We start from the raw sequence: 27,867 nt of genomic DNA, 5'->3' as shown, positions 1-27,867 counted from the left end.
GCCGGGCGTGGTGGCTCATGCCAGTAATCCCAGCACTTTGGGAGGCCGGGTCGGGCAGATTATGAGGTCAGGAGATCGAGACCATCCTGGCTAACACGGTGAAACCCCGTCTCTACTAAAAATACAAAAAAATTAGCCGGGCGTGGTGGCTGATGCCTGTAGCTCCAGCTGCTCGGGAGGCTGAGGCAGGAGAATGGTGTGAACAAGGGAGGCGGAGCTTGCAGTGAGCCGAGATCGGGCCACTGCACTCCAGCCTGGGCGACAGAGCGAGACTCCATCTCAGGAAAGAAAAAACAAAAACAAAAAAAAACCCACAAAAACTAACCAACTGTAATAGGCACTTTTTCTACAACCAAGGAAATCCAAAAAATGATTATGTAGTATTTTAAAATGATTATAGTTTACTTGTTTAACAGTTTTTAAATTTTTCACCTTTTAGAAATACAGTGGCTGCACTCGGTGGCTCATACCTGTAATCCCAACACTTTGGGAGGCCAAGGCGGGTGGGTTGCTTGAGCTCAGGAGTTTGATATCAGCCCCAGCAACATAGCAAGACCTCACCTCTACAAAAAACACAAAAATTAGCTAGGCATGGTGGCTTACACCTGTAGTCCCAGCTCCTCAGGAGGCTAAGGTGGGAGGATGGCTTGAGCCCTGATGGTGGGCAGTGAGCCGAGATTGAGCCACTGCACTCCAGCCTGGGCAACACAGGGAGACCCTTGTCTCCAAAAAAAATTAAAACAAATAAAAATAAAAATAAATACAAGCTGAAGAACTTACTGATGATATGATGTCTGTGATTTGCCTTAAAATACTGGACTGAGGAAAAATAAGGGGGGTTACAGATGTCACAAAATAGGCCTCGTGCTGATAACCCTGGAAGCTGGTTGATGGCAACTGAGGTTCATTATTCTACTATGCTTTTTTTAATTGACAAATAATAACTGTATATATTTATGCCCATTATCCTATTATGATATTCTACTATGCAGGTTTGAAATGCTCTATAATGTAAAGTGTTTTTAAAAGCACATAAGGATGGGTGCGGTAACTCATGCCTGTAATCTCAGCATTTTGGAAGGCCGAGGTGGGTGGATCACCTGAGGTTAGGAATTCGAGATCAGCATGGCCAACGTGGTGAAACCCTGTCTCTACTAAAAATACAAAAATTAGCTAGGCGTGGTGGTGGGCACCTGTAATCCCAGCTACTTGGGAGGCTGAGGCAGGAGAATCACTTGAACTCAGGAGGCAGAGGTTGCAGTGAGCCAAGATCACACCACTGCACTCTAGCCTGGGCGATGGAGTGAGGTTCTGTCTCAAAAAAATAAAATAGGCTGGGAGTGGTGGCTCATGCCCGTAATCCCAGCACTTTGGGAGGCCGAGGTGGGACCACCTGAGGTCAGGTGTTTGAAACTAGCCTGGCCAACATGGCGAAACTCCGTGTCTACTAAAAATACAAAAATTAAGCCGGGCTCAGTGGATCACGCCTGTAAACCCAGCACTTTGGGAGGCTGCGATGGGTGGATCGCCTGAGGTCAGGAGTTCGAGACCAGCCTGGCCAATATAGTGAAACCCCTCTACAAAAAATACAAAAAATTAGCTGGTCATGGTGGCAGGTGCCTGTAATCCCAGCTACTAGGGAGGCTGAGGCAGGAGAATCACTTGAACCCGGGAGGCGGAGGTTGTAGTGAGCCGAGATCGTGCCATTGCGCTCCAGCCTGGGCAACAAGAGTGAAACTTGTCACAAAAAAAAAAAAAAGGCCAGGCATGGTAACTCACACCTGTAATCCCAGCACTTTGGGAGGCCGAGGCAGGCAGATCACGAGGTCAGAAGATTGAGACCATCCTGGCCTACATGGTGAAATCCCAACGCTACTAAAAATACAAAAATTAGCTGGGCATGGTGGCACGTGCCTGTAGTCCCAGCTACTCAGGAGGCTGAGGCAGGAGAATCGCTTGAATCCGGGAAGTGGAGGTTGGAGTGAGCCGAGATCATGCCACTGCACTCCAGCCTGGGCGACAGAGCAAGACTTTGTCTCAAAAAAAAAAAAAAAAAAAACTTAGCCAGCGTGCTGGCGCATGCCTGTAATCCCAGTTGCTTGGGAGGCTGAGGCAGGAGGATCGCTTGAACCAGGGAGGCAGAGGTTGCAGTGAGCCGAGATTGACGCACTGCACCCCAGCCTGGGCGACAGTGAGACTCCATCTCAAAAATATAAATAAGTAAACAAATAGGCTGGGTGTTGTGACTCACATCTGTAATCCCAGCACTCTGGGAGGCCAAGGTAGGCGGATCACTTGAGGTCAGGTGTTCGAGACTGGCCTGGCCAACATGGTGAAACCCCCTCTCTACTAAAAATACAAAAATTAGCAGGGCGTGGTGGTGGGCGCCTGTAATCCCAGCTACTTGGAAGGCTAAGGCAGGAGAATCGCTTGAACCCAAGAGGCAGAGGTTGCAGTGAGTCGAGATCACACCGGTGTACTCCAGCCTGGGCAACAGAGTGAGACCCTGTCTCTAAATAAATAAAAGCACATAAAGAGGGGACATTTTGGCTTGCAACTGTGGGTGACAGGATATGCACTGCTGGGGTCCAGGAGGGGCAGTCCTCCAACTCCCAGGGCAGGCCCTGGCTAAGGCAGTCACAAGGGCCAAGTTCCTCTTGAAACCCAGAATTAAGTACAGCCCCTTTGTTCCTCAACCCTGCAGCTCCCATCATCCCTCCCCCACACAGTGCTCTCTGGAGTACAGGGTACGAGCTGCAGGTGCTAGATGGGGAAAATGAGGTGGAGGCTCCATGGTGGGGGCTAGAACCTGGGACTCCTGATTACTAGTTGGGGTCCCTCCCCTAGACAAAGCCCAGATTCTCATTCCCAACAGATCCAGGGAAGAAACAAAGCAGATAATACCTTCAGGCTTTAACTTCTCCAGAAACCACTTTCTGCAAGAGAAAGAAAGGACAGTCAGACACCAGGAGCAGCTGGATCTTCTTACCACCTTTTCCAGGCTGTTCCCTATTGACAGCCAAGGGGAAATGAAAAAGAATGCCTCCAAGAGCCAGGCGAGGTGGGTCCCGCCTATAATCCCAGCACTTTGGGAGGCTAAGGCAGGCGGATCGCTTGAGCTCAGGAGTTTGAGAAAAGCTTGGACAACGTAGCAAAATCCTATCTCTACAAAAAATGCAAAAAAACTGGCTAGGCATGTGCCTGCAGTCCCAGCTACTTGGGAGGCTGAGGCAGGTGGATAGCTTGAGCCCAGGGAGTGAGCTGTGATCACACCACTGCACTCCTACCTCAGCGACAGACTGAGACCCTGTCTCACACACCAAAAATAAATAAATACAGGCCGGGCGCGGTGGCTCATGCCTCTAATCCCAGCACTTTGGGAGGCCAAGAAGGGCAGATCACGAGGTCAGGAGATGGAGACGATCCTGGCTAACATGGTGAAACCCCGTCTCTACTAAAAATACAAAAAATTAGCCAGGTGTGGTGGTGGGCGCCTGTAGTCCCAGCTACTCGGGAGGCTGAGACAGGAGAATGGCGTGAACCCGGGAGGCAGAGCTTGCAGTTAGCGGAGATCGCGCCACTGCACTCCAGCCTGGGCGACAGAGCGAGACTCTTGTCTCAAAATAAAATAAAATAAAATAAAATAATTAAAAAATTAAAAATAAATAAATAAATACAAAAAATTAGCTGGGTGTGGTGACGCACACCTGTAGTCCCAGTTACCCAGGAGGCTGAGGTGGGAAGATCACCTGAGCCTGGCAGGTGGAGACTGCAGTGAGCTATGATCATGCCACTGCACTCCAGCCGTCTGGGTAACAGAGAGAGACTGTATCAAAAAAAAAAAAAAAAAAAAGAAAGGAAGAAAGAAATCAAGTTTTAGATTCCAACTTCCTTGTTTTCTCTTTCCTGAAATTAATCTACCTATGAATGTACTTCTCAAATGCGTGGGGTCCCCTTTACCATCTCCACTTACAGGTCGCATTCTCACACTTTACAAAAGAAAGGCATGCTTCTCCTATCCCGTCTTTCCTCGGGACAACGTGAAAGGCTGTTGATGCTAAGACAGGGAATGACCTGCAGTATCAGGTACCTCATCATTTTGCAGTTCTGGTGGTTTTGGGCCTGACGCCCTGTAAGGGGGTGGAGGTAGTCACTCACATGTAGGGGCCGGGGAGCCCTCCAAGGGCATTGAAGCACAGACAAGTGTCCTCAACCAGCACGGGCCCCTGTACCTGCAGCACAAAGACATACAGCCCTGAGACCCATGATCACCATCCCCACCTGGAACGTCCAGGTCACCCGCGTCACCCAGGCTGGGGCCAGCCCTCAGCTAGCTGAGATCTGTGGCAGACAGCACCATGGGAGCTGCCCTCGGCCAATCTCTTAACTTTGGCCAATCTCTTATCTTATGAGGACACCAAGCTTTGGCCGATTGTTAAAGCTTGCTCCAGGCACAGCAATGGGAGAGCTGGGATTCACACTCAGCCTGACTCTCCGCAGCGTGCTTTCTCAGTTCCACGAACATGTGTGAATGCAGCGGTGGATGTGTGTGGGGAGGATGTAGGGCTGGAATCCATTGTCTGAGCATTTGGGGGAAGGGGAGTCTGTGTGTACGTGGGAGTGTATGGTGGTGGTCTGGGGGAGATACCATGTATTCAAGGCTGGCAAAGGAAGGCAGTGTTCCAAAGCCAATATTAACTGAACCCTAGAGGACTCTGGGCCGGTCCTAGAAAGCTCAACAAACTGTGTCTACTCTATTGTTTCTAGCAGGCGCAGGCCCTGGAAGCTACCTGGACAAGAAGAGCAAGTGTGGGACAAGGGCAGGGCAAGCACCTGGCGAACTGCCTCCTGACATTTCTGTATGGAAATCTCATCCGGCTCCCCCTGGTACTCCGGCACTTATCAGGGAAACAGACACACAGAAAGTCAGGTCACAGGAAGACAGAGAAATCCAACCATCTTTTAAAAATAAAACAAAACAGAGACATACGGTCAATTTTCTGTGCCACCAAAGTGCATGGAAACTTATCTCCTAGAATCTGAACGACCTGTTCCAAGAGAAAAGAGAACACTTATCACCATCTAGTGATTCTCCATGTGAGCACGTGAGCTGTCATCCGCCTTTCTCATCGATAACTCTGCTGCCCATCTCCTAAAGCTTACCAACTCAGGCCTGTGGGCCTCACCCCGGCTTTCAGGGTCCCACCCCAGCAAGCCAGCCCCTTCCATCTCCTTGCTTCTCTATCTCTTCTACGTCAGGTCTCTGCTTGTGCTAAGCCCCCATCCAGAACACACTCTTCTCTTCTCAATGCTCCCAGAAACCCTAGCCATCCTCCTAGACCAGGAATTCTCTAACAGAAGATACCCAGAATTCAGAAGGCCTATGAACATGGATTGGGAAAAAAAACTTTATTCTTAGTAACCCTTAATTGAAATGTAGTAACTTTTTCAATTATGAATATAGGTAACAAACCAAAATATTACTAGCAGTGCCTGTGACTTTTAACCCTACTAAAATCACAGATGTTGTTATAACTCATTACAATTGCTGCAGATATCTCAAAATATCATTTATCTTGATATTTTAAAATTAAGGGGCTGGGTCCTGTGGCTCACGCCTGTAATCTTAGCACTTTTGGAGGCCAAGGTGGGCAGATTGCTTGAGCCCAGAAGTTTGAGACTAGCTTGAGCAACATGGCAAAACCCCATCTTTACAAAAAATACAAAAATTAGCTGGGCATAGTGGCATGTGCCTGAAGTTCCAGCTACTCAAGAGGCTGGGGCAGGAGGATTGCTTGAGCACAGAAGGTTGAGGCTACAGTGAGCCAAGATTGCACCATTGCACTCCAGCCTTAGGCGACAGAGTGAGACTCCGTCTCAAAAAAAAAAAAAAATTAAGATAATTACTCATACATTGGTAGATTGAATCCTTTAATGCATTAATAAAGTATATATAACTAAATCACAAATATTTGTAACATTTTGATAATTGTACTTCACTTTAGTTGACTTCCTTTGTAATCCTATGTATTTTATTTTTTTTTGAGAGAGGGTCTCTCTCTCTGTCACCCAGGCTGGAGTACAGTGGCACAAACACAGCTCACTAGAGCCTCAACCTCCTGGGCCCAAGAGATCCTCCTCCCATGTACCTAGAACCACAGGTGGCCCAGGTACCATGCTTAGGCTAATTATTTGTAGAGCTAGGGTCTCACTTTGTTGCCCAGGCTGGTCTTGAACTCCTCGGCTCAAGAGATCCTCCTTGAGCCTCAGTCTCCCAAAGTGCTGGGATTACAGGTATGAACCACAGTGCCCAGCCTATAATACCATGTATTTTATTTTGTACATTTGAAACTATTTTCCTGAGAAAGATTCCATAGGTTTCCTCAGTCTGCCAATGGCATACCACTAGTTAAGACTACCCGTTCGGCCAGGCACGGTGGCTCACGCATGTAATCTAACACTTCGGGAGGCCCTGGCGGGCGGATCACCTGAGGTCGGGAGTTCGAGACCAGCCTGACCAACATGGAGAAACCCCATCTCCACTAAAAATACAAAAATTAGCTAGGTGTGGTGGCACACACCTGTAGTCCCAGCTACCAGGAAGGCTGAGGCATGAGGATTGCTTGAACCCAGGAGGCGGAGGTTGCAGTGAGCTGAGATCGTGCCACTGCACTCCAGCCTGGGCAACAGAGTGAGACTTTGTCTAAACAAACAAACAAACAAAACAAAACAAAACAAAAACACAGCTGGGCTAGGTGGTTCATGCCTGTAATTCTAGCACTTTGAAAGGCCGAAATGGGTGGAGGGTGGATCACTTGAGGTCAGGGGTTAGAGACCAGTCTGGCCAACATGACGAAATCCCGTTTCTACTAAAAATACAAAAATTAACCAGGCGTGGTGATACATGCCTGCAATCCCAGATACTCGGGAGGCTGAGGCAGGAGAATTGCTTGAACCCAGGAGGCGGAGGTTGCAGTCAGCAGAGATCGCACCACTGCACTCCAGCCTGGGCGACAGAGTGAGACTCTGTCTCAAAGAAAAAAAAAAAAAGACTACCTGTTCTAGGCCAAGTGTTCAAGTCCATGTTCTCCAAGGAGTCTCCCTTGGCTACTCTAGTGCCTTCTTCTTCTTCTTCTTCTTTTTTTTTTTTTATTTGAGACAGAGTCTCACTCTGTCACTCAACTCTTACCCAGGCTGGAGTACAGTGGCGTCATCTCAGCTCACTGTAACCTCCGCTTCCTAGGTTCAAGCGATTCTCCTGTCTCAGCCTCCCGAGTAGCTGGGACTACAGGCACGTGTCACCATGCCCAGTTAATTTTTGTATTTTTAGTAGAGATGAAGTTTCATGATGTTGGCCAGGCTGGTCTTGAACTCCTGACCTCAGATGTTCTGCCCACCTCAGCCTCCCAAAGTGCTGGGATTACAGGCGTGAGGCACTGCACTCGGGTTCCAGCTCCTTCTTTAAGTGAGGGCAATATTCTCAGCCAGAGGTTTGGGGTCTCATGCCCACTGTCCTGCATGGGCTCTGTTCAGGGTGGACTGCCTGACTGGTCTGGCCTCAGGATCCCAAACCTTTTTTCGGCAAAAGGCTCTGGTTCCTGAGAAGGCCACTCAGTCCTGGCACCAAAGTGACATCAGTCCCTCCCTACACTACAGGCAAATGTAGGTGTCCCTAGTGATTACACCCCACTGGTCTGCCTCAGACATATCCAGTGGGTGTCATCCTGATCCCCCACACATGACCCCCACTCCATGGCTATGGCTGATTGAACAGGGGCAAACTCTTGATTCAAGCAAAGCCAGTCGGAGCTGATATCTGGTAGAAGCCTCATTGTTCCATCCCCCAGCAGGGAAGAAAGGGGAAAGATATGAACAGGAATAGGGATCAGCATCCAGAGAGAACAAGGACAAGTCAGCTTCTTGAGAGAACTTCAGGTCCTGTGGGACACGATAACACTATATTCCCACAGGAGTCATCTGGTGGCTTACATGAGCTCCCTGTGTGTTTCTGTTACTTGCTAGCCACAAAGTCCCTGCAAACAGAAACTTTAGATCCACTGCCTCCTTTACTCCTCCTCTCTATAGCGCTGTGAAGCAAATGTCCTGCATCATCCCCATTTCACACACGCGAAAAGAGGTTAGAACATTTCAGGACGGTGGTGAGGCACGGACTGCTCAGTGTGGAACTCCGTCCCACGCCCTCTCTGGGTCCTGCTAGCCCTGGCCCAGCAGCGGGATGTGGATAAGTCCCAGAAGAGTGTCGGGACACTGGGTTGGGGTCTACTTCAATAGGTGACCTTCGGGGCGGTTGTTAAGAGCCCCGCTACTCCTCCGGGTCCCGCAGTCGCTGACCACACAAGCCCTGTGTCGGGATCTGTCGAGACCCTCGTTCCCTCGCCAACCCCGGGGCGCCCCGATTCTGCAGCCACTCCCTTCTTGCGCCCCAGCTTTTCCACACAGCCGGGTCAGGACCCATTCTTCCGGGCTGAATTCTGTTCTCTCTCCATGCCTCCTCCCACGTGCTTCCCTCCTCCCGGAAGCCCCTTCTCCGCCCTATTCCCAGCCGCCTCCCAGTTAGCCCCCAACACCCTCCCGGCACCTCCTCCAGCTTCTTGGCGTTCCCCGTTACAAACACGATCTTCTTCCCCACCAATGAGGCCGCCATGGTGATCCCCGGTTACCCAGCTGAGCCACCGAAAACTCCTTGGCGTCCAGTGACAGAAAACTTCCGGCTGGTGGCGGAAGTGAACGGCTCAGTTTCCGGCCAGGGGTCCCGGGGAAAGCCGACCCGGACCCCAAGGCGCGTATCGGGCGAGTGGGCTCGCGGTGGCGGCCTAGCCCACAGCGTCCGATTTGCTGGGGGCCTCCCGAGCCTGGAGACTGAGTGACCCACCCCTCCTGCCTAAGGGACGCTATCTTCAAGAACCGGAAGAGACCACTCCCACCCCCACCCCGCCCCTGCTTTCGCTCTTCTCTGCAATGGGGTCTCCGAAAGGAGAAGACTGCAGCCCTGTGACCCTGGAGGTTTGCGCTCTCCTATGCTGTCTCAAAAAACTGCCTCCTTCTAGGCAAGGGCTTCCAAACCCTCATCCTGATCTCACCTTCAGCCTTACCCGCCAGCTATGATCCACTCGACTGTGAACTTAAACTCGGCATAGCCTAAAACAAGCCCAAACTTCTCACCCGTTTTCACTCCTAGGCTTGAGAGCTCAGTATGTAGAGTTCCTCACTTCCTCATCCCTCCAGCCTCTCAAATCTATCACCCCTTCTCCGTGGCCACCGTTTCAGCCAGATCTTTGCATTCCAAACACAACAGAAAGTAGGAAGTGCCCTCTCAAAGGTGGGTCTGCTGAACCTCTGCTGATACTCTCTTTGCAGCAAGTCATCTGACCTCCCTCCTCCAGAGACTCAGCCCTCTGCCCCCCGCCTGGACCCCTGTGTCAGTACCTCTTGAATGGCCACTTCTGCCCATGGACAAGAAAGGGAGGGAGTCTGAGTTCTTACCAAGCTCCTCAGGCCATTCTGATGCTCATCAAAGTGTGGGAAAGCCCGGTGGCTCACGCCTGTAATCCCAGCACTTTGGGAGGCTGAGGCGAGTGGATCACCCGAGGTCAGGAGTTTGAAACCAGCCTGACCAACATGGAGAAACCCCATCTCTACCAAAAAGTACAAAATTAGCTGGGCATGGTGGTGCATGCCTGTAATCCCAGTTCAGAGAATTCAGGATTCAGGAGAATCGCCTGAATTCGGGAGGTGGGGGTTGCAGTGAGCGGAGATCGTGCCATCGGACTCCAGCCTGGGCAACAAGAGCAAAACTGCGTCTGAAAAAGAAAAAAAATGTGTGGGAACCACTGCTTTGGGTGGTGACCTGTTTTCTTTTATTGAAGTAGAAACACTAACCATTATGCAGAGTCCCTAGAGGAGTGGCCATGGGGATTTGGGGGCAGAGGAGGGCTTGGGGGACATCAGTTACCCCGAGGAGCCTGAAAAGAAGAAAAACAGCCCACCTTACATGGATGCCTTTCTTGGATCTTAGCCAGCTCAAGCCCCAGCTCAGGAAAACCTTCCCTGAGCTCCCTTTCATCTGCTTGCATAGCACTGACCTCTGCACTGCAAATAGATATTCATTTGTGTGATTCTGTTTTCTCTTCTAAAAATCCTAATGGTAAAAACCATATCTGTTTTTGCTCACCTCTCTTTTTCTTTTTTTTTTTTTTTTTTGAGACGGAGTCTTGCTCTAGTCACCTGGCCTGGAGTGCAATGGCATGATCTTGGCTCACTGCAACCTCTGTCTCCTGGGTTGAAGCGATTCTCCTGCCTCAGCCTCCTGAGTAGCTGGGACTACAAGCACCCCCCACGACGCCCAGCTAATTTCTGCATTTTTAGTAGAGACGGGGTTTCACCATGTTGGCCAGGCTGGTCTCGAACTCCTGACGTCGTGATATGCCCACCTCGGCCTCCCTAAGTGCTGGGATTACAGGCATCAGCCACTGTGTTTTGTTGTTGTTGTTGTTGTTGTTTTGAGATGGAGTCTTGCTCTTGTCGCCCAGGCTTGAGTGCAGTGGCACGATCTCGGCTCACTTCAACCTCCGACTCCCGGGTTCAAGGGATTCTCCTGCCTCAGCCTCCTGAGTAGCTGGGATTACAGACATGCACCACCACACCCAGTGAATTTTTGTACTTTTAGTAGAGGTGGGGTTTCACCATATTGACCAGGCTGGTCTCAAACTCCTGACCTCAGGAGATCCCTCCACCTCAGCCTCCCAAAGTGCTGAGATTACAGGCTTGAGCCACGGTGCCCAGCCTCACCTCTCATTCTTAAATCCCAGCTCCTGGTACATAGTAGGTGTTCTGTAATGTAAGATAACTAGCTTGGGCACAGTGGATCACTTGATCCCAGGAGTTCAAGACAAGCCTAGACAACATGGTGAAACCCAGTCTCTACAAAAAATACAAAAAATTAGTTGGGCTTGGGGGCACACACCTGTAGTCACAGCTGTTTAGGAGGCTGAGGTGGGAGGATCACCTGAGCCTGGGAAGTCGAGGCTGCAGTGAGCCAAGAGTGCCACTGTACTCTAGCCTGGGTGATGTGAGTGAGACCCTGTCTCAAAAAACCAACAAACAAAAAGATCACAACTGACATCTATAATTACAAGTCCATAGATAACTTTCTTTTTCATTCTTTTATTTATTTATTTTTTTTGAGATGGAGTCTTGCTCTGTTGCCCAGGCTGAAGTACAGTGGTGTGGTCCCGGCTCACTGCAACCTCTGCATATTGGGTTCGAGCAGTTCTCCCACCTCAGCCTCCTGAGTAGCTGGGACTCCAGGCATGCACCACCATGCCTGGTTAATTTTTGTATCTTTCTTCTTCTTTTTTTTTTTTTTTTGAGACAGTCTCACTCTGTCGCCCAGGCTGGAGTGCAGTGGCGCGATCTCAGCTCACTGCAAGCTCCGCCTCCCGGGTCCCCACCATTCTCCTGCCTCAGCCTCCCAAGTAGCTGGGACTACAGGCGCCCACCACCACGCCTGGCTAATTTTTTTGTATTTTTAGTAGAGACGGGGTTTCACCGTGTTAGCCAGGATGGTTTTGATCTCCTGACCTCGTGATCCGCCTGCCTCAGCCTCCCGAAGTGCTGGGATTATGGGCATGAGCCACCACACCCGGCTAATTTTGTATTTTTAGTAGAGATGGGGTTTCTCCATGTTGGTCAGGCTGGTCTCAAATTCCCGACCTCAGGTGATCCACCCACCTCGACCTCCCAAAGTGTTGGTTGGGATTGTAGGCGTGAGCCACGGTGCCCAGCTTTTTTTTTTTTTTTTTTTTTTTTGAGACTGAGTCTCACTCTGTTGCCCAGGCTGGAGTGCAATAGTGTGATCTCGGCTCACTGCAACCTCTGCCTCCCGGCTTCGAGAGATTCTCCTGCCTCAGCCTCCCAAGTAGCTGGGATTACAGGCACCCACCACCACGCCAAGCTAATTTTGTATTTTTAGTAGAGACAGGGTTTCACTGTGTTTGTCAGGCTGGTCTCAAACTCCTGAGTTCAGGTGATCCACCCACCTCAGCCTCCCAAAGTGCTGGGATTACAGGTGTGAGCCACCTCGCCCAGCCCATATTTTTTCTTTTTCTTTTTCTTTCTTTCTTTCTTTTTTTTTTTTTTTTGAGACAGAGTCTTGCTCTGTCGCTCAGGCTGGTGTGCAGTGGTGCAATCTTGGCTCACTGCAACGTCCGCCCCCTGGGTTCAAGTGATTCTCCTGCCTCAGCCTCCCGAGTAGCTGGGATTACAGGCATGTGCCACCACGCCCCACTCATTGTTTGTATTTTTAGTAGAGACAGGATTTCATCACGTCAGCTAGGCTGGTTTTGAACACTTGACCTGAAGTGATCCGCCCACCTCGGCCTCCCAAAGTGCTAGGATTACAGGGGAGAGCCACCTCATCTGGCCCGTATTTTTTCAAATCCCTTTCTCACCATTGTTCATTGGTCCTGAATTTATTTTTATTTATTTTTATTTTCTGAGACAGGGTCTCACTCTATCACCCAGGCTGGAGTGCACTGGCATGATCATGGCTCACTGCAGCCTCGACCTCCCTGGGCTCAGGTGATCTTCCCACCTCATCTTCCCAAGTACCTGGAATCACAGGTGCATGCCACCACACCTGGCTAATTTTTGTATTTTGTAGAGACAGGGTTTCATCATGTTGCCCAGGCTGGTCTTGAACTCCTAGGCTCACCTCTACCTAGACTTCCCAAAGTATTGGGTTAACAGACGAGCCTCTGTGCCTGGCTCCTGAAATAAATCTTTACTTCTGTTATCATGTATACAAAAAGCTTAATAAATTCCAGTACTGCCCTCCCCTCCCCTCCCCTTCCCCTCAAAAGAAAGAAAGAAAGAAAGAAATTCAGTGTCACAGATACAGCAAAACCCCAACCCGCTTCCCTCCTCCTAGAGGTAATCGCTATCCTGAAGTTGGTGTGCATCAGTCCCAAGCCTCTTTTCGTACTTTTTCCACGGTTGTTTCCATAAACACTATGTGGGATTGTTTAGTGATTTTTAAAACATATATAGTCCGGGCGCGGTGGCTCACGCCTGTAATCCCAGCACTTTGGGAGGCCAAGGTGGGTGGATCACAAGGTCAGGAGTTCGAGACCAGCCTGGCCAACACGGTGAAACCCCCATCTCTACTAAAAATACAAAAATTAGCCGGGCGTGGTGGCGGGCGCCTGTAATCCCAGCTACTCGGGAGTCTGAGGCAGGAGAATCGCTTGAACCTGGGAGGTGGAGGTTGCAGTGAGCCGAGATCGCACCACCGCACTCCAGCCTGTGCGACAGAGACTCCGTCTCAAAAAAAAAAAACATACATAGATGTTTTCTACTGGACATACCGTCTGCTATAATTTCCTCTTAACATTGTGGGTTTCTTTACACCCCCCAAACTCATTTTAATGTCTGACATTAAAGCCTCTCTGTGATGTGCCGCTGGGCGGGGCTCCGAGTAGTGGGCGGAGTCTAGATTGGGAAATAGGGGCGGGGCCTATGAGATCCCGGCCTCAGGGTGGACGCAGTGGTTCTGCACTGAGGCCCTCGTCATGGTGGCGCCTGTGTGGTACTTGGTAGCGGCGGCTCTGCTAGTCGGCTTTATCCTCTTCCTGACTCGCAGCCGGGGCCGGGCGGCATCAGGTAGGAGATGCCGCTGCACCAGGGTTGGTGGTACCGGGTTTTCTGGCCTTCTGAGCCTTTGTGGACCGTCGCGCCGCGGCTCCTGCGCGTGCGCACCTGGGCGGGCGGGACGCATGCGCGTCCGTGCGCTAGTCGTGTGCCGGGTGGGGCTTCCGCAGTGCCCTACCTGGAATCGGTGGCCGCGCCGCTACCCCTTTCTCTCGACTCCAAGCCAGAGTCTGGCCTCATCCCTCTCTTCACCCCCGGGAACTCCATACCTCCAAAGGCCTGAGGCCCTGGCCGGCGCACACTCCCATCCGTCACCGTCGGGGCCCTTTCCCTCTGCACCTGTTAGGGAGGCCGCAGGGGTTTTCCATTCCTCCCAGCCTGGCTCCAGAGCAGGTGCCAGGAAGGGGGCATCTGAATATTTTCTGCCTGTCCCCCACGAGCTGGAGAAGCGCGAGGCGGCTCCAGGAAATTCCTGAAGCTCTCTCCCTTCCCGCCAAGGAGAGGGCCCACTCTCCCTCCCCAATCCGCTCCCCGATCAGAAGGCCATGTCATTGGCCAGGGCACAGAACAGATACACCCATCCTCCCTCTTTCCCCCCATTTCTGGTCAGCGGGCGGGTTTGTATATGTGTTTTCCTGCTCCCTGGGCCCACAAGCTACCTCTGAGCACCTGCGCGCTCCCAGGAGCGGAAGGGACACGCTGAGGGAAGGCGGAGATCCAGCAGGTCTTCCCGGGGGAGGCTCGGCCACCGCCGGGAAGTGTACTCTCTGGCTGGGGAGCCAGATAAAACCACAGGTGGTGTTAGGCGAGAAATCAGTGGATTCCTGCAGGGGGTACTCGATGAGAGCTGGGGACATCAGGATAGGGGCCTCCTGACAGGCCAGCTGGAAAGGTGGAGCCGGGAGGGGAGAGGAGTATTCACACAGGCCCGAGGGAAGGGCTGAGCCCCCGCCTGGGACCAAGCTGTGGGCCTGGTGGAAAAGGCCTTGCCAGTCAGACTGAGAAGTCGGGGCCTTGTGCTGTGGGCAGCAGGCCGCTAAGCAGAGGAGGTGAGGCTTCCGGGCTGCCGCTCCTCCTGCCATGGGCCGGGCTGGGCTTATAGGCAGCATTGTCATTTCTGTCTTCCCTACAGCCGGCCAAGAGCCACTGCACAATGAGGAGCTGGCAGGAGCAGGCCGGGTGGCCCAGCCTGGGCCCCTGGAGCCTGAGGAGCCGAGAGCTGGAGGCAGGCCTCGGCGCCGGAGGGACCTGGGCAGCCGCCTACAGGCCCAGCGTCGAGCCCAGCGGGTGGCCTGGGCAGAAGCAGATGAGAACGAGGAGGAAGCTGTCATCCTAGGTGAGAGGGGCCCAGCCTGGTGGGGAGAGGGTTTGGGTTGGAGGGGGGGATAAAAGGGCCCCCAAAGCTAAGTGGGGGAGTAGGGTATGAAGCCTCAGGGTAGGAGGGACGTCTGGGAGCCACACGGTAGAGTAGGGGGGGACTTGGGACCTGGCATTTGTTCCACTGGGTCAACCCCCCCTACCTTCATCTTGGCTCTCAGTGTCCAAGCAGAGGGCAAGGGTCTTCAGTTTGATTCAGAATGTTCCTCAATTCACCCCTTCTATCCTCGCACCCTTCCTGTTATGGGCACACTTATTCCCTGAGGATTTCACCCTAGAGGCAGAGTGCCTGGCCAAGAGTTTCTGCAGTTCCTGGAGTGGGGTCACCCACAACCCCAGGAAAACAGTTTAAAGATAGAGACATTCTGTTGACACAGAGGCCTCCATATCCCTGCTTCCAGGAGACCAGGAGAGCCCTCAGGATTGTCTTCTCCAGTACTTGGCAGCTGGCTTGAGCCTGAGGAGGGGGCGTCTGGGCGTTTCTCAGAAACTGGGGGCATTTGAGGCTTTTGCCTTGTACCTTTGGGGATTATCCCTTTAGCTCAAGAAGAGGCCCTTTCTTTGCCGTACCTTCTGGCTCAGACTTGGGTTCAGAGACCCTTGCTGCACAGGCATCAGTGGGTCTTTAACTTGCAGCTGGCCCTGAGGTAGTCATAGTGTTGGGACTGTCATTTCAGCCAGGGTTTGATGGGCAAAGGGATAATCCTGGCCAGGGACTAAGCCCAGAATCCTCAGCAACTCCTGACGATTGTGAGGAGGATTTCAGATTTGAGGCGGGATAAATTTCCTCATGGGACTTCCCTTGCCTGGGGGTTTGGCACCAGAGACAGAAGCCAGAGAACTCTGGAGTTCATTAGCCAGGATATTTAAGGTACATTAGGTGAGACCAGCATTCAGAAAGGTAAAAAACCCTCTCTGGGCCGGGCGTGGTGGCTCACACCTGTAATTCCAGCACTTTGGGAGGCCAAGGAGGGTGGATCACGAGGTCAGGAGATCGAGACCATCCTGGCTAACAATACAAAAAATTAGCCGGGCGTGATGGTATGTGCCTGTAGTTCCAGCTACTTGGGAGGCTGAGGCAGGAGAATGCCATGAACCCGGGAGGTGGAGCTTGCAGTGAGCCGAGATCGCGCCACTGCACTCCAGCCTGGGCGACAGAGCGAGACTCCGTCTCCAAAAACAAATAAACAAACAAAAAAAACCCTCTCTGGGCTGGGCATGGTGGCTCACGCCTGTAATCCCAGCACTTTGGGAGGCCGAGGCGGGTGGATCACGAGGTCAGGAGATTGAGACCATCCTGGCTAACATGGTGAAACCCGGTCTCTACTAAAAATAAAAATAAAAAAATCAGGGGGGCATGGTGGCTGGCGCCTGTAGTTCCAGCTACTCGGAAGGCTGAGGCAGGAGAATGGCGTGAACCCAGGAGGTGGTGCTTGCAGCGAGCCGAGATCGCGCCACTGCACTCCACCCTGGGCAACAGAGCGAGACTCCGTCTCAAAAAAAAAAAAACCAAAAAAAACAACCCTCTCTCCTAATGCCTCCCCTATGCTGTATTCTGGCTTATCAGCCACAGTACCTTAAATATCCAGGCAGCGCTATCTGTGACCCCGAGACACTTGCATATTTTAATCTGATACCTCCTTCTTTGTGGCTATGCAATATCTAAAGTTCTCATCTTTTTTTTTTTTTTTTTGAGACAGAGTCTTGCTCTGTCACTCAGGCTGGAGTGCAGTGGCGTGATCTCGGCTCACACCACTTGGCAGCAGATCTCGGCAAGCTCTGCCTGCTGGGTTCATGCCATTCTCCTGCTTCAGCGTCCCTAGTAGCTGGGGCTACGGGTGGCCACCACCACACCTGGCTAATTTTTTTTTTTTTTTTTTTTTTGAGACAGAGTCTCGCTCTGTCGCCCAGGCTGGATGGAGTGCAGTGGCGCGATCTCCGCTCACTGCAAGTTCCGCCTCCTGGGTTCACACCATTCCCCTGCCTCAGCCTCCCGAGTAGCTGGGACTACAGGCACCCGCCACCATGCCCGGCTAATTATTTTTGTATTTTTTTTTCCCCTGAGACAGTGTCTCACTCTGTCGCCCAGGTTGGAGTGCAGTGGCGTGATCTCAGCTCACTGCAAGTTCCGGCTCCTGGGTTCACATTATTCTCCTGCCTCAGCCTCCTGAGTAGCTGGGACTACAGGTGCCCGCCACCACACCCAGCTAATTTTTTGTATTTTTAGTAGAGATGAGGTTTCACCATGTTAGCCAGGATGATCTCGATCTCCTAACCTCGTGATCCGCCCACCTTTGCCTCCCAAAGTTCTGGGATTACAGGCATGAGCCACCGTGCCCAGCCCTTTTTTGTACTTTTAGTAGAGATGGGGTTTCACCATGATTGCCAGGATGGTCTCAATCTCCTGACCTTGTGATCCACCCACCTCGGCCTCCCAAAGTGCTGGGATTACAGGCTTCAGCCACCGTGCCCGGCCTAAAGTTCTCATCTTTTCCCTTGCCCTATGGGCCCCTCACCGTTCTCCCATCCCTACATATTCATGCACACACACACACGCACTCATGGCAGATGCCTCTGGAGGGCAGAGCTGGGCTAGTGACATTTGCAGGTGGGTGGAAGGGGATCCCCCTGTTAGGGGAGGGACGAGGGGTTGGGGATCCATCGTCATCAGTCCTCTCTGGTCAGAACCTGAACTGTCTTTCTTTGACCATACCCAGCCCAGGAGGAGGAAGGTGTCGAGAAGCCAGCGGAAACTCACCTGTCGGGGAAAATTGGAGCTAAGAAACTGCGGAAGCTGGAGGAGAAACAAGCGCGAAAGGCCCAGCGTGAGGCAAGCCGGAGGGATGGGGTGCAGCTCTGGGAAGTGCGAAAGGGCACTGCCTTCCTTTTTCCCTAAGGCAGACTGAGGGCTTGTTGCCTGCTGGGCTGGTGTTTGCTGCTTCCCTGGCTCTGTCTCCTGCCGCCTGGGTCTGTGCCCTGGCCCAGGCATTGCCTTCCCTAGTCTGTCTGGGCGGTGGGCACACTCTAGCCGGGGGTGAGGGATGTGCCCCTATGAAGACCTCTCTCCAGGCAGAGGAGGCTGAACGTGAGGAGCGGAAACGACTCGAGTCCCAGCGCGAAGCTGAGTGGAAGAAGGAGGAGGAGCGGCTTCGCCTGGAGGAGGAGCAGAAGGTGAGGCCAGCCCCTACCCTGACCTCTGACCCTTGACCAGGCAAGGCAGCCTTGCTTCTTATGCAGCTCCCTGGCACCTCCAACCTAGAAGGTGGGCCATAGACCTGGCACAAGGGCAGGTCCTGGTTTATTTGGTCCCTAGGCTCCACCACAGCCTAGAAAAGCCACTGCTGAAAAGCAGAGCCTGGAGTGGGGATTTTTGTGCACGTGACTATTGAACTTTCGGGGAGCATGTGAGGAACGCGAGGCGAGGAGGATAGCTGGGCAGAGAAAGCCAGGAGAGGAGGAGAAGATGGCAGAGAGGTGATGGGGGTCTGGATCCTGAAGGCCTTGAGGCTGAGGAAGATCATTGTAAGAGATGGTTCTTACATCGAGGGCCTGGCATACAGAAGGTGCTCAGGGAATGGGGTCCACTGCAGTAGTGACTAATGAACATTTGTTTGCCAGATGCTTTCTTTGTTCTGAGAACCAGGTTTCCCAAAAAGAGAACACCATAAAGATGTGGGGTACATAGGGTTAGAGCCAGGGCTGCCCTAGCTGGGAAGACCTGTGACCTCTGACTGACCTGTTGTCCCAGGATCCTGGATGGCAGGAAGCCTGGATGTGGGTGCTGTGGCTGATAAGCCAGAATACAGCATGGGGGAGGCATTAGCAGAGAGGGTTTTTTCCTTTCTGAATATTGGTCCCGCTTAATGTACCTTAAATATCCTGGCTCTTCTCCCCTGTAACCAGTTTCCCTTATCCTTAACGTCCTACCTCACTTTAATACCTTCCTCACAACTAATATTGACACATTATTGTTAACTAAACTCTAACATTATTCAGATTTTTCTTTATTGATTGATTAAGACAGGGTCTTGCTCCGTTGCCCAGGCTGGAGTGCAATGGCACGATCTTGGCTCACTGCAACCTCTGCCTCCCAGCCTCAAGCAATCCTCCCACTTCAGTTCCCCGTCCCTGCGAGTAGCTGGGACTATAGGTGTGCACCACCATGCCTGGCTAATTTTTTTTTTTTTTTTTTGGTAGAGATTGGGTTTCACCGTGTTTCCCAGGCTGCTTTTGAATTCCTAGACTCAAGCAATTCTCTTCCCTTGGCCTCCCAAAGTGCTGGGATTACAGGTGTGAGCCACCACACCTGACCCCATTATTCATATTTTATTTGTTTTTTCCCAGTATCCTTTTTCTTTTCCAGGGTCCCATCTAGGATGCCATGTTACATTTAGTGGTCATGTCTCCTTAGGCTCTTCTGTGTCATGACAGTTTATCAGAATTTCTGTTTTGTTTTTTTTTTTTTTTTTTTGAAACGGAGTTCCACTCTTGTTGCCTAGGCTGGAGTGCAGTGGCATCATCTTGGCTCACCACAACCTCCACCTCCTGGGTTCAAGCAATTCTGCTGCCTCAGCCTCCCAAGTAGCTGGGATTACAGGCATGTGCCACCACGCCCGGCTAATTTTGTATTTTTAGTAGAGACGGGGTTTCTCTATGTTGGTCAGGCTGGTCTCGAACTCCCGACCTCAGGTGATCCACCCACCTCAGCCTCCCGAAGCGCTGGGATTACAGGCGTGAGCCACTGCACCAGGCTTTTTTTTTTTTTTTTTGAGACAGAGTCCCTCTCTGTCTCCAGGCTGGAGTGCAGTGGCACGATCTCGGCTCACTGCAACCTCTGCCTCTTGGGTTCAAGTGACTCTCCTGCCTCATTCTCCCGAGTAGGTGGGACTACAGGTGCACCACCACGCTCAGCTAATTTTTATATTTTTAGTAGAGAGAGGGTTTCACCATGTTGGCCAGTATGGTCTCAATCTCTTGACCTTGTGATCCTCCTGCCTTGGCTTCCCAAAGTGCTGGGATTACAGGCATGAGCCACTGTGCCCGGCCTTTTTTTTTTTTTTTTTTTTTTTTTAAGAGAGATGGAGTCTCACTCTCACCCAGGCTGGAGTGCTCACTGCACCTTCAAACTCTTGGGCTCAAGCAATCCTCCTGCCTCAGCCTCCCTAGTAGCTGGGGCTACAGGTGTGCACCACTGTGCCCAGCTAAGACTCCTTGCTTTTGATGATCTTAACCTTTTTTTTTTTTTTTTTTGAGATACAGTCTTGCTCTCAAGGCTGGAGTGCAGTGGCGCGATAGCTCACTGCAACCTCCACCTTCAGATTTCAAATGATTCTCCTGCTTCAGCCTCCCAAGCAGCTAGGATGACAGACGTGCACCACCACACCTGGCTAATTTTTGTATTTTTGGTAGAGGCGGGGTTTCACCGTATTGGCCAGGCTGGTCTTGAACTCTTGACTTCAGGTGATCCACCCACCTCAGCCTCCCAAAGTGCTGGGATTACATGTGTGAGCCACTGTGTCCAGCCTTAACAATTTTGAGGAGTCCTGGGCAAGTAGTTTGTAGAAGGTCCCTTAATTTGAGTTTGGTTGATGTTTTTCTCATGGTTAGACTGGGGTTATGGATCTGACTGAAGAAGACAATAAGTGAAGTTCCATCTTCAATGCAACATACCAAATATGCAAGTTATCCGCTTCACTTGTCCCTAATGTTGTTAACCTTGGTCGCCTGGCTGCGGTTTTGTTTGCCAGCTTTCTCCACTGTAATGTGACTGTTTTTTTCCCCTCTTCCCGTATTTCTTTGGAAAGAAGTCACTGTGCACAGCCCACACTTAAGGGTTGGGGAGTTAGAGTTCTTACATAAATTATATGGAAATCTCTTACAGGAGATATGTCTCTCCTTCCCTATTCATTAAATATTCATGCAGTCTTTTTTTTTTTTTTTTTTTTTTCTGAGATGGAGTCTCACTCTGTCATCCAGGCTGGAGTCCAGTGGCGCAATCTGGGCTCACTGCAACCTCCGCTTCCCAGGTTCAAGCGATTCTGCTGCCTCAGCCTCTCGAGTAGCTGGGATTACAGGCACCCGCCACCACACCCAGCTAATTTTTGTATTTTTAGTAGAGACGAGGTTTCACCATGTTGGCCAGGATGGTCTTGAACTCCTGACCTCAGGTGATCCGCCTGCCTCAGCCTCCCAAAGTGGTGGGATTACCAGCGTGAGCCACCGTGCCCGACCAGCCATTTTTTTTATATTTGTATAGACTCATGAGTATTTATTTTGTACTTTGTGTTATAATCCAGTAACGTTATTTATTACGTTGTTGAGATTGTTCCAGCTTTGACCATTGGGAGCCCTTTCAGTTGGCTCCTGTGTACCTTTAACACACACTCGTTTTGTTTTTTGAGCACTTAGTTTCTGGCACTGCAAGATGCCCCAGACTCATCTTGTATATTACTTGCCTCAGCTTTAGCTTTCTGATTCTTGTTTTTGTTTTTGAGATGGAGTCTCGCTCTGTCCCCCAGGCTGGAGTGCAGTGGCACAGTCTCGGCTCACTGCAAGCTCTGCCTCCCAGGTTCACGCCATTCTCCTGCCTCAGCCTCCCGAGTAGCTGGGACTACAGGCGCCCACCACCACGCCCGGCTAATTTTTTTTTTGTATTTTTAGTGGAGACAGGGTTTCACCGTGTTAGCCAGGATGGTCTCGATCTCCTGACCTCGTGATCCGCCCGCCTTGGCCTCCCAAAGTGCTGGGATTACAGGCGTGAGCCACCACGCCCGGCTAGCTTTCCATTTAAAAATTTTTCTGAGTGCTCTGGAAAATGTGTTGGGTTGAGGGAGGCTGTTTTACCAGGCAGTAGTGGTGATGGAGCAACATAGACAGACCAGGGAGTTTTCTGGAAGTTAGAGAAAGAAGGGGTCAATAGGACCTCATTTCTGACCAGTTGGCTGTGTTAATTCACAGAGCCAGGGACCTAGGAGGAGGTCTAAACGTAGAAGAGTAGGTCCCAGGGTCTGTCTGCTGCCTGTGAGATGGCCCAGTAGCTGTGTCACATGGACCGTTGTGTGTTTGGGAGAAGAGATTCGGGTGGGGCTACAAGTGTGGTAGTCACTGGCAAGGAAGGGGTTGATGCTTTGGGCATGGGCGAGGTGGCCCAGAGAATGTGGAGGAGAGAGAAGAGGCAGGGCTGAATGATGAAGGAGGCGGGAAGAATGGCCCAAGGAGCAGGAGGAAATCCAGGAGAGGGTGGGATCTGGAAGCCAAGGGAGGAAAGAAGGATCACTGAGAGGACAGACATATGAGACCTGAAGGTTGTACCTTGAGTTTGGTGAGTGGAGGGCATGGGTGAGACTGTGGCAGGAGTTGTTTCATAGAACTGGGAACACAGAAGCCAGACTGGAGTGGGCTGACTGGGTGAGTGGGTGGTGAGGAAATGCAGGGTTCACATTTGCTTATGAGGTGTGGACATGACGGGGTATGCTTGGTGAGTTACACAAGGAGAGGATGGGGCAGGTGATTGGAGGGTATTGTAGAGTGGGGTCATGGCAGGGTTTTCAACAGATTTTTGCTAAGATCCCCTGAGCACGGAGGGCGGGAGAAGGGGCTGAGCAGCATTTGTCCAGGTGATGATGAAACCGATGACAAGAGGGGCCTCGGCCCATGGTTCAGCTTGGGGGAATGGAGAAATGGGGGTCCTGAAGGAGCTCTGTCTCTGAGAAAAGGCTGGGCTATATGCTCTGGTGTCCTGCAGGGGTAGCAGCAACCAGAACAGGTGCCTGCCCTGTTCTGCCCCCGATACCTGACTTTTGCCTCCTATGTCCACAGGAGGAGGAGGAGAGGAAGGCCCGCGAGGAGCAGGCCCAGCGGGAGCATGAGGAGTACCTGAAACTGAAGGAGGCCTTTGTGGTGGAGGAGGAAGGCGTAGGAGAGACCATGACTGAGGAACAGGTGGGCCTGCTGCCCCTGGGAAGCCCCTCTCTGCACCCATCAGTGCAGCCTGTGCCAGACGCAAGGCTAGCCACCCCATCCCAGACGCCCCTGGCCAGGCAGTGAGAGGTGGGTGGGCATCAGTACCAGCAGGCTTTAGTGGCCAGAGGCCTTGTCCTCAGCAGAGGCTGGTGCCTCCGAAACTCTCACCCTGGAAGGCTCTGCTGCTTGTGTAGGCAAGCGGTATGTGCAGGTGGTTGGGCGGGCCAAAGGCAGGCTGCAGGCAGGTGGCCCTCAAGTGAGCAGGTGGTACTTGGGTGAATGGGTACAGAACCCTGTGGGCTTGCTAGGGGGTGCTCACCCTGATTTCTCTGCTTCTCTAGTCCCAGAGCTTCCTGACAGAGTTCATCAACTACATCAAGGTAAGAAGCCACTGAACAGAGCCTGAGTGTCAGCTCCCTGCCTGGCATGTGCAGGTTGGATGCCTCCAGCGGGGGCTGCAGGCAGGGCATTCAGGCTCATGCAGGAGTGGACAGGGGGGCCCAGAGGGGCAGAGCCGCAGGGTCCTGGCCAGGAGAGTTTCTCTCCCTCCAACCCCGAAGGTGGAGAAGGACCTGGGTCTGTGTGGGAGGCGCAAGCCTTTGATCACTTCCTCACACTCAGTTTGACAGTTTCCCTGCTCTTCAGACCCCACGCTCAGTGAGTCAGTGTGTTTTCAAGTCTCTTCACATGTGTTTTCTGTCAGTTCTGTCACACTGAGGCTCCACTGAGTTGAAACAAGCATCCTCTGCCATGTGCTCCTGACTGGGAACTTGGGTCTTTCAGGGGGAACAGGATGGTGTTTCCTTTGGAGTTTAGGGTGGGGCGGCAGTGTGTCCCCTTCTGTCCGCAGCCACTGCGCAGGCCGCCTCGATGCTGCTCCAGGTTGCATAAGCACATCCTACTTTGCTTTGCTGCTAAGCAACTTCTCTCCCACGAAGGATGCCATGAGGGGAGAGGTTTTCAAGTGCAACTCAGAGGTGCAGAGGCGGCTGAGGGAAGGAGTGCAGAGGGAGCGGGGGCGGTGGTGGGGGTGCTACCAGGGGCTGCCAAGGACCCAGGGCTTGCATAATCCTCCCGCCACCTCTCCTGAAAGAGAGCAGGGTTTAGACGCCTGCCAGCAGCGAGGGGCTGGGCTCACAGCCTTGAGTCTGGGGTTCTTAAGTGGGGGAAATGCTGGCAGCTTTGAGAGGGTCCTGTCTGTTCAGGCTGTGTGCACTCCCCTCTCATGGAGCCCTCTCTCTACCCTGGCACACTTGATTAGGGGCTGTGGCCGGGCAGGTTATTTCTCACACTTGCCTGCTGCTGTTTGGAACTTGTCCCCACCTACCCAGTAGGCAGTAAGATGGTCCTGAAGCCCCTCCCCAGGAAGCCTTCCCAGGTGGAATTAGAGGAGGGGGTCAGCTTCAACATCCCCCTTTACTCTGCAGAAACCAGAAGAAAGGTCCCCAGTTCTAGCCCTCACTTTTGGTGGCTCCCTGGAGGTAACTATTCTCTGGGAGTTCTCCAAACTCTTTTGGAGCTTAGAAGTTTTTCCAGCTTGTCCGGGCATGGTGGCTCACGCCTGCAATCCCAGCACTTTGAGAGGCCGAGGCGGGCAGATCACTTGAGGTCAGGAGTTTGAGACTAGCCTGGGCAACATGCTGAAACCCCATCTCTGCTAAAAATACAAAAATTAGCCAGGCATGGTGGTGCACACCTGTAGTCCCAGCTACTCAGGAGGCTGAGGCAGGAGAATCACTTGAACCCAGGAGGTGGAGGTTGCAGTGAGGCAAGATGGTGCCACTGCACTCCAGCCTGGGCGACAGAGTGAGACTCTGTCTCAAAAAAAAAAGAAAAAAAGTTTTTCCAGCCTGTGCTGGCTAATTCTTCTAGAGCTGCTGTCTTGCAAGGAAAAGGAGGACTTCTGAAATTCAGTCTGTCTGCTTTCCTCCTTGCTCCAAGGGGATAGACCTTTTTTGCCTTAAGATTTCAGAACTGGAGGAACATGCCTGCACCCAGCATCGTTTATGAGAGGTGTAGGGTTCACTCGATCTTGTTCCATTCTCCTGTCTGACCATGGCTGGGCTCAGGCGATCTTCCTGCCTCTGCCTCCTGAGTAGCTGAGATTGCAGGTGGGTGCCACCACACCTAGCTTGTTTTATCAAACGTGTTTTGGCCCCAGCAGCACCTCAGGCCAGGTCATCAGGGAGCACCTGGGGTGACTTCATGTTCTCGCACCACACTGTCACTGAGAGCCCGCTGCCTGATCCCTGTTTTGTAGGTAGAGACCAGCTGACCACGTCACTTTGTCCTTGCCCATCCTGACCCAGCTGCCTCTCGCTTGCCTTCTTGCTTGTACATACGGCTTTGGCATTTCAAACAAGTCACATGCTATCTGCAGTCAGGGAGGTGTCACCATGTCAGTCCTCCCCCAGCTCATTTGCGGTGGAGGATTCACAGAAATGCAAAAGAACTGCCTTTTCTCAAGTCCTGTGCTGTGTGTTGGGGTAGTGGGGGCAGGTGCCTGTGTGGACACAGCGGTGGACCCTTCGCTGCGCCCTTGGGAACTCAGGTTTCTACTGAGGGTATGAAGAAGCACTTGGAGCACAGAACGTGGCTGTGCTGGAAAGCACTCAGCGGTATTAGTGACAGTGATTTCAAGGGTGGGCTCAGTGCCTCAGATGGTATAAAGAGGATGGATAAAAAGTGTGGGTGTGTCAGGTTGTGGGGGACCAGGCCAGTGGGGCGGCCAGCGAAGGCAAGGCAGGAGTGGGCCCCCACAGCCTCTACTGAGAGACCTTGGCTTGCTCGGGCTTTTATCTGCTCTCCCTCTTGTCCATGTACTCACCTGTCTCACCAGCCGGACTGCGAGCTCCAGGGCGGGGACTATGGCTTGTTCAGCATGTGTCCCTCCTACCTTCTCAGGGCCTTGTTCTAGTAGGTCCTCAGCAAGCATAAGTCCTGGTGACAGTTATTTAAAATAGCTTTTGGTGACTCTCACCGCCTCCTTCCTCCCTATGGTGCGTCCCCTTGAACTTGTCCATGATGTTAAAAAGAGATGGCTGGATGCAGAGGATGGTGGCTGCTGTGCTCTGATTACCACTCGTGTGTCTCGGAGTCCAGGACAGGGCCCATGAGGCAGGTGGTTGTTTTGGGTAGATTCCTTCCTCGCAAGAAGGGGAATGAGAGGGTTTATGATTGTGCGGGTCTCTGTCAATGGGTGATAGTGAGTGTGTGTGTGTGTGTGTGTGTGTGTGTCAGGGGAGCAAGGCTGTCCTACAGGAGTGTGTACAGTGTTTTTCCAGCCACCGAGAACAGATCAGATCAGAATGCAAACCTGGAGGGTGCCCATGCTTAGAGGGATTTGCCCAAGCTCAGCCTCTCTTTCTTTTCCTCCTTCTTTTTGTAGCAGTCCAAGGTTGTGCTCTTGGAAGACCTGGCTTCCCAGGTGGGCCTACGCACTCAGGTAAGCCCTGGAACGTGGCCTGCTGTGTGCAGTGTGGCCAGGGGTCTGTGGCTAGCAGAGAGGACCTGCCCTAAAGATAGAGTCTTGATGCACCGTCTACCTTGTCCCCAACCAAGAGTGAGTAGTGCACAGAAGTCTCCTGGCACCCTGGGAATCCTGCATTTTTAATGGACGAACAGGCAGGAAAGAAAAAAAAAACCCAAACCCCATCACTCTGCCAGCCCCTGTGACCAAAGCAGCCCAAATCAGTTACCTTGACAACTCTCATGCACAGACTGCACCAGCCTGTGTTGCAAACATCACTGCCCCGCTTCTAACAGGAAGAGATACTCTTTTGGGGGTCTTGCAGGGCCCAGGACCAGAGCCCCTTCTACCCAGGGCCCTTCCAAAGGCAAAGCACAGAGTCACATTTGGGCGTGGCATGAGAGGGAAATAAAGAGATTTGGCTGTAGTGGGAGGGAGGTTTCAGTGCTTTTTCTGGGGACATTGGTGCCTATCTCTATTCTGAGAGTTGTTCTCCTCATAGGACACCATAAATCGCATCCAGGACCTGCTGGCTGAGGGGACTATAACAGGTGAGATGATGAGAGCCAATCACTGCAGTCCTGGCCTTGGAGAGTGTCTAGCCACAGGGGCTGCAGGGATGTGCTGCAGAGGCAGGATGACCACCCAAGATGGGGGGAGGGGTGTGCAAGGAGGGGCACTGAGTAGCTGGATGCAGTTACAAGGAGGACATGCCAGGGCCTGGAGGTGGCAGCAGTGGGAGAGGACAGGCAGGGCAGCCTGATTCGACTCTCCTAGCAGGACTGGATGCAGCCAGGAAAGTCCAGGCAGGCAGGAGGCCGGAAGGGCCCTGAGCCAGCTGTGAAGGAGTAGGTGGGCATTCTCAGGCCAGATGGGGAACGCCCAGGAGGCCTCAGCCCCACAACCTGCATGTCCCCACAGGTGTGATTGACGACCGGGGCAAGTTCATCTACATAACCCCAGAGGAACTGGCCGCCGTGGCCAACTTCATCCGACAGCGGGGCCGGGTGTCCATCGCCGAGCTTGCCCAAGCCAGCAACTCCCTCATCGCCTGGGGCCGGGAGTCCCCTGCCCAAGCCCCAGCCTGACCCCAGTCCTTCCCTCTTGGACTCAGAGTTGGTGTGGCCTACCTGGCTATACATCTTCATCCCTCCCCACCATCCTGGGGAAGTGATGGTGTGGCCAGGCAGTTATAGATTAAAGGCCTGTGAGTACTGCTGAGCTTGGTGTGGCTTGGTGTGGCAGAAGGCCTGGCCTAGGATCCTAGATAAGCAGGTGAAATTTAGGCTTCAGAATATATCCGAGAGGTGGGGAGGGTCCCTTGGAAGCTGGTGAAGTCCTGTTCTTATTATGAATCCATTCATTCAAGAAAATAGCCTGTTGCACATTTA

At 52.3% G+C, this 27,867-nt stretch overlaps 2 protein-coding genes across 16 annotated transcripts in view, besides 4 other annotated features; one reads left to right on the top strand and one right to left on the bottom strand.

Moving 5' to 3' along the window:
• The window catches only part of ITPA (inosine triphosphatase), a 23,385-nt gene extending 9,233 nt beyond the window's left edge, over window positions 1–14,152 (bottom strand). For 4 of the 15 annotated variants that reach the window (NM_001324240.2, NM_001424408.1, NM_033453.4 and 1 more), the window contains exons 1-5: window positions 8,600–8,719; window positions 4,991–5,048; window positions 4,834–4,898; window positions 4,159–4,232; window positions 2,905–2,936 (exon numbers count right to left, since the gene is read on the bottom strand). In NM_001324240.2, coding sequence (NP_001311169.1) covers window positions 2,905–2,936; window positions 4,159–4,232; window positions 4,834–4,898; window positions 4,991–5,048; window positions 8,600–8,665 — 295 coding nt within the window. In that variant the 5' untranslated portion in view covers window positions 8,666–8,719. Of the gene's footprint in view, window positions 1–2,904; window positions 2,937–4,158; window positions 4,233–4,833; window positions 4,960–4,990; window positions 5,049–8,599; window positions 8,720–9,183; window positions 9,822–13,937 lie in introns of those variants that run through there. The other 11 variants (XM_047440139.1, NM_001424409.1, XM_006723565.4 and 8 more) reach the window with 9 other exon arrangements.
• Window positions 8,476–9,124: an enhancer, noted in NCBI's record as "H3K27ac hESC enhancer chr20:3189739-3190387 (GRCh37/hg19 assembly coordinates)". NCBI's record gives its function as "activates a minimal SCP1, AML or CMV promoter by ChIP-STARR-seq in naive H9 embryonic stem cells {active_cell/tissue: H9 hESC(naive)}" and the evidence as "EXISTENCE:reporter gene assay evidence [ECO:0000049][PMID:30033119]".
• Window positions 8,524–8,593: an enhancer, noted in NCBI's record as "active region_17477". NCBI's record gives its function as "activates an Ori minimal core promoter by ATAC-STARR-seq in GM12878 lymphoblastoid cells {active_cell/tissue: GM12878}" and the evidence as "EXISTENCE:reporter gene assay evidence [ECO:0000049][PMID:35858748]".
• Window positions 13,535–27,867, top strand: DDRGK1 (DDRGK domain containing 1). The gene is made up of 9 exons (NM_023935.3): window positions 13,535–13,680; window positions 14,801–15,004; window positions 17,763–17,875; window positions 18,115–18,216; window positions 22,864–22,986; window positions 23,349–23,387; window positions 26,396–26,452; window positions 26,979–27,027; window positions 27,398–27,867. Exons 1-9 carry the CDS (start codon window positions 13,590–13,592, stop codon window positions 27,562–27,564), a joined length of 945 nt encoding a protein of 314 aa, NP_076424.1. The 5' UTR covers window positions 13,535–13,589; the 3' UTR covers window positions 27,565–27,867.
• Window positions 13,624–13,843: an enhancer, noted in NCBI's record as "active region_17476". NCBI's record gives its function as "activates an Ori minimal core promoter by ATAC-STARR-seq in GM12878 lymphoblastoid cells {active_cell/tissue: GM12878}" and the evidence as "EXISTENCE:reporter gene assay evidence [ECO:0000049][PMID:35858748]".
• Window positions 14,847–15,445: an enhancer, noted in NCBI's record as "H3K27ac-H3K4me1 hESC enhancer chr20:3183418-3184016 (GRCh37/hg19 assembly coordinates)". NCBI's record gives its function as "activates a minimal SCP1, AML or CMV promoter by ChIP-STARR-seq in naive H9 embryonic stem cells {active_cell/tissue: H9 hESC(naive)}" and the evidence as "EXISTENCE:reporter gene assay evidence [ECO:0000049][PMID:30033119]".

Source organism: Homo sapiens, chromosome 20, assembly GCF_000001405.40.
Source record: "Homo sapiens chromosome 20, GRCh38.p14 Primary Assembly".
NCBI classification, from domain to species: domain Eukaryota; kingdom Metazoa; phylum Chordata; class Mammalia; order Primates; family Hominidae; genus Homo; species Homo sapiens.
The sequence above is the reverse complement of the archived record's forward strand: the minus strand, read 5'-3'. Positions and strand labels throughout refer to the sequence as shown.

Excerpts from the sequence above, each read along its gene's own strand:
- DDRGK1 (NM_023935.3), top strand. The coding sequence starts at position 13,590 with ATGGTGGCGCCTGTGTGGTACTTGGTAGCGGCGGCTCTGCTAGTCGGC. Across the intron at positions 13,681-14,800 it reads CCGGGGCCGGGCGGCATCAG|CCGGCCAAGAGCCACTGCAC; the intron begins GTAGGAGATGCC and ends TCTTCCCTACAG. Across the intron at positions 22,987-23,348 it reads AGACCATGACTGAGGAACAG|TCCCAGAGCTTCCTGACAGA; the intron begins GTGGGCCTGCTG and ends CTGCTTCTCTAG.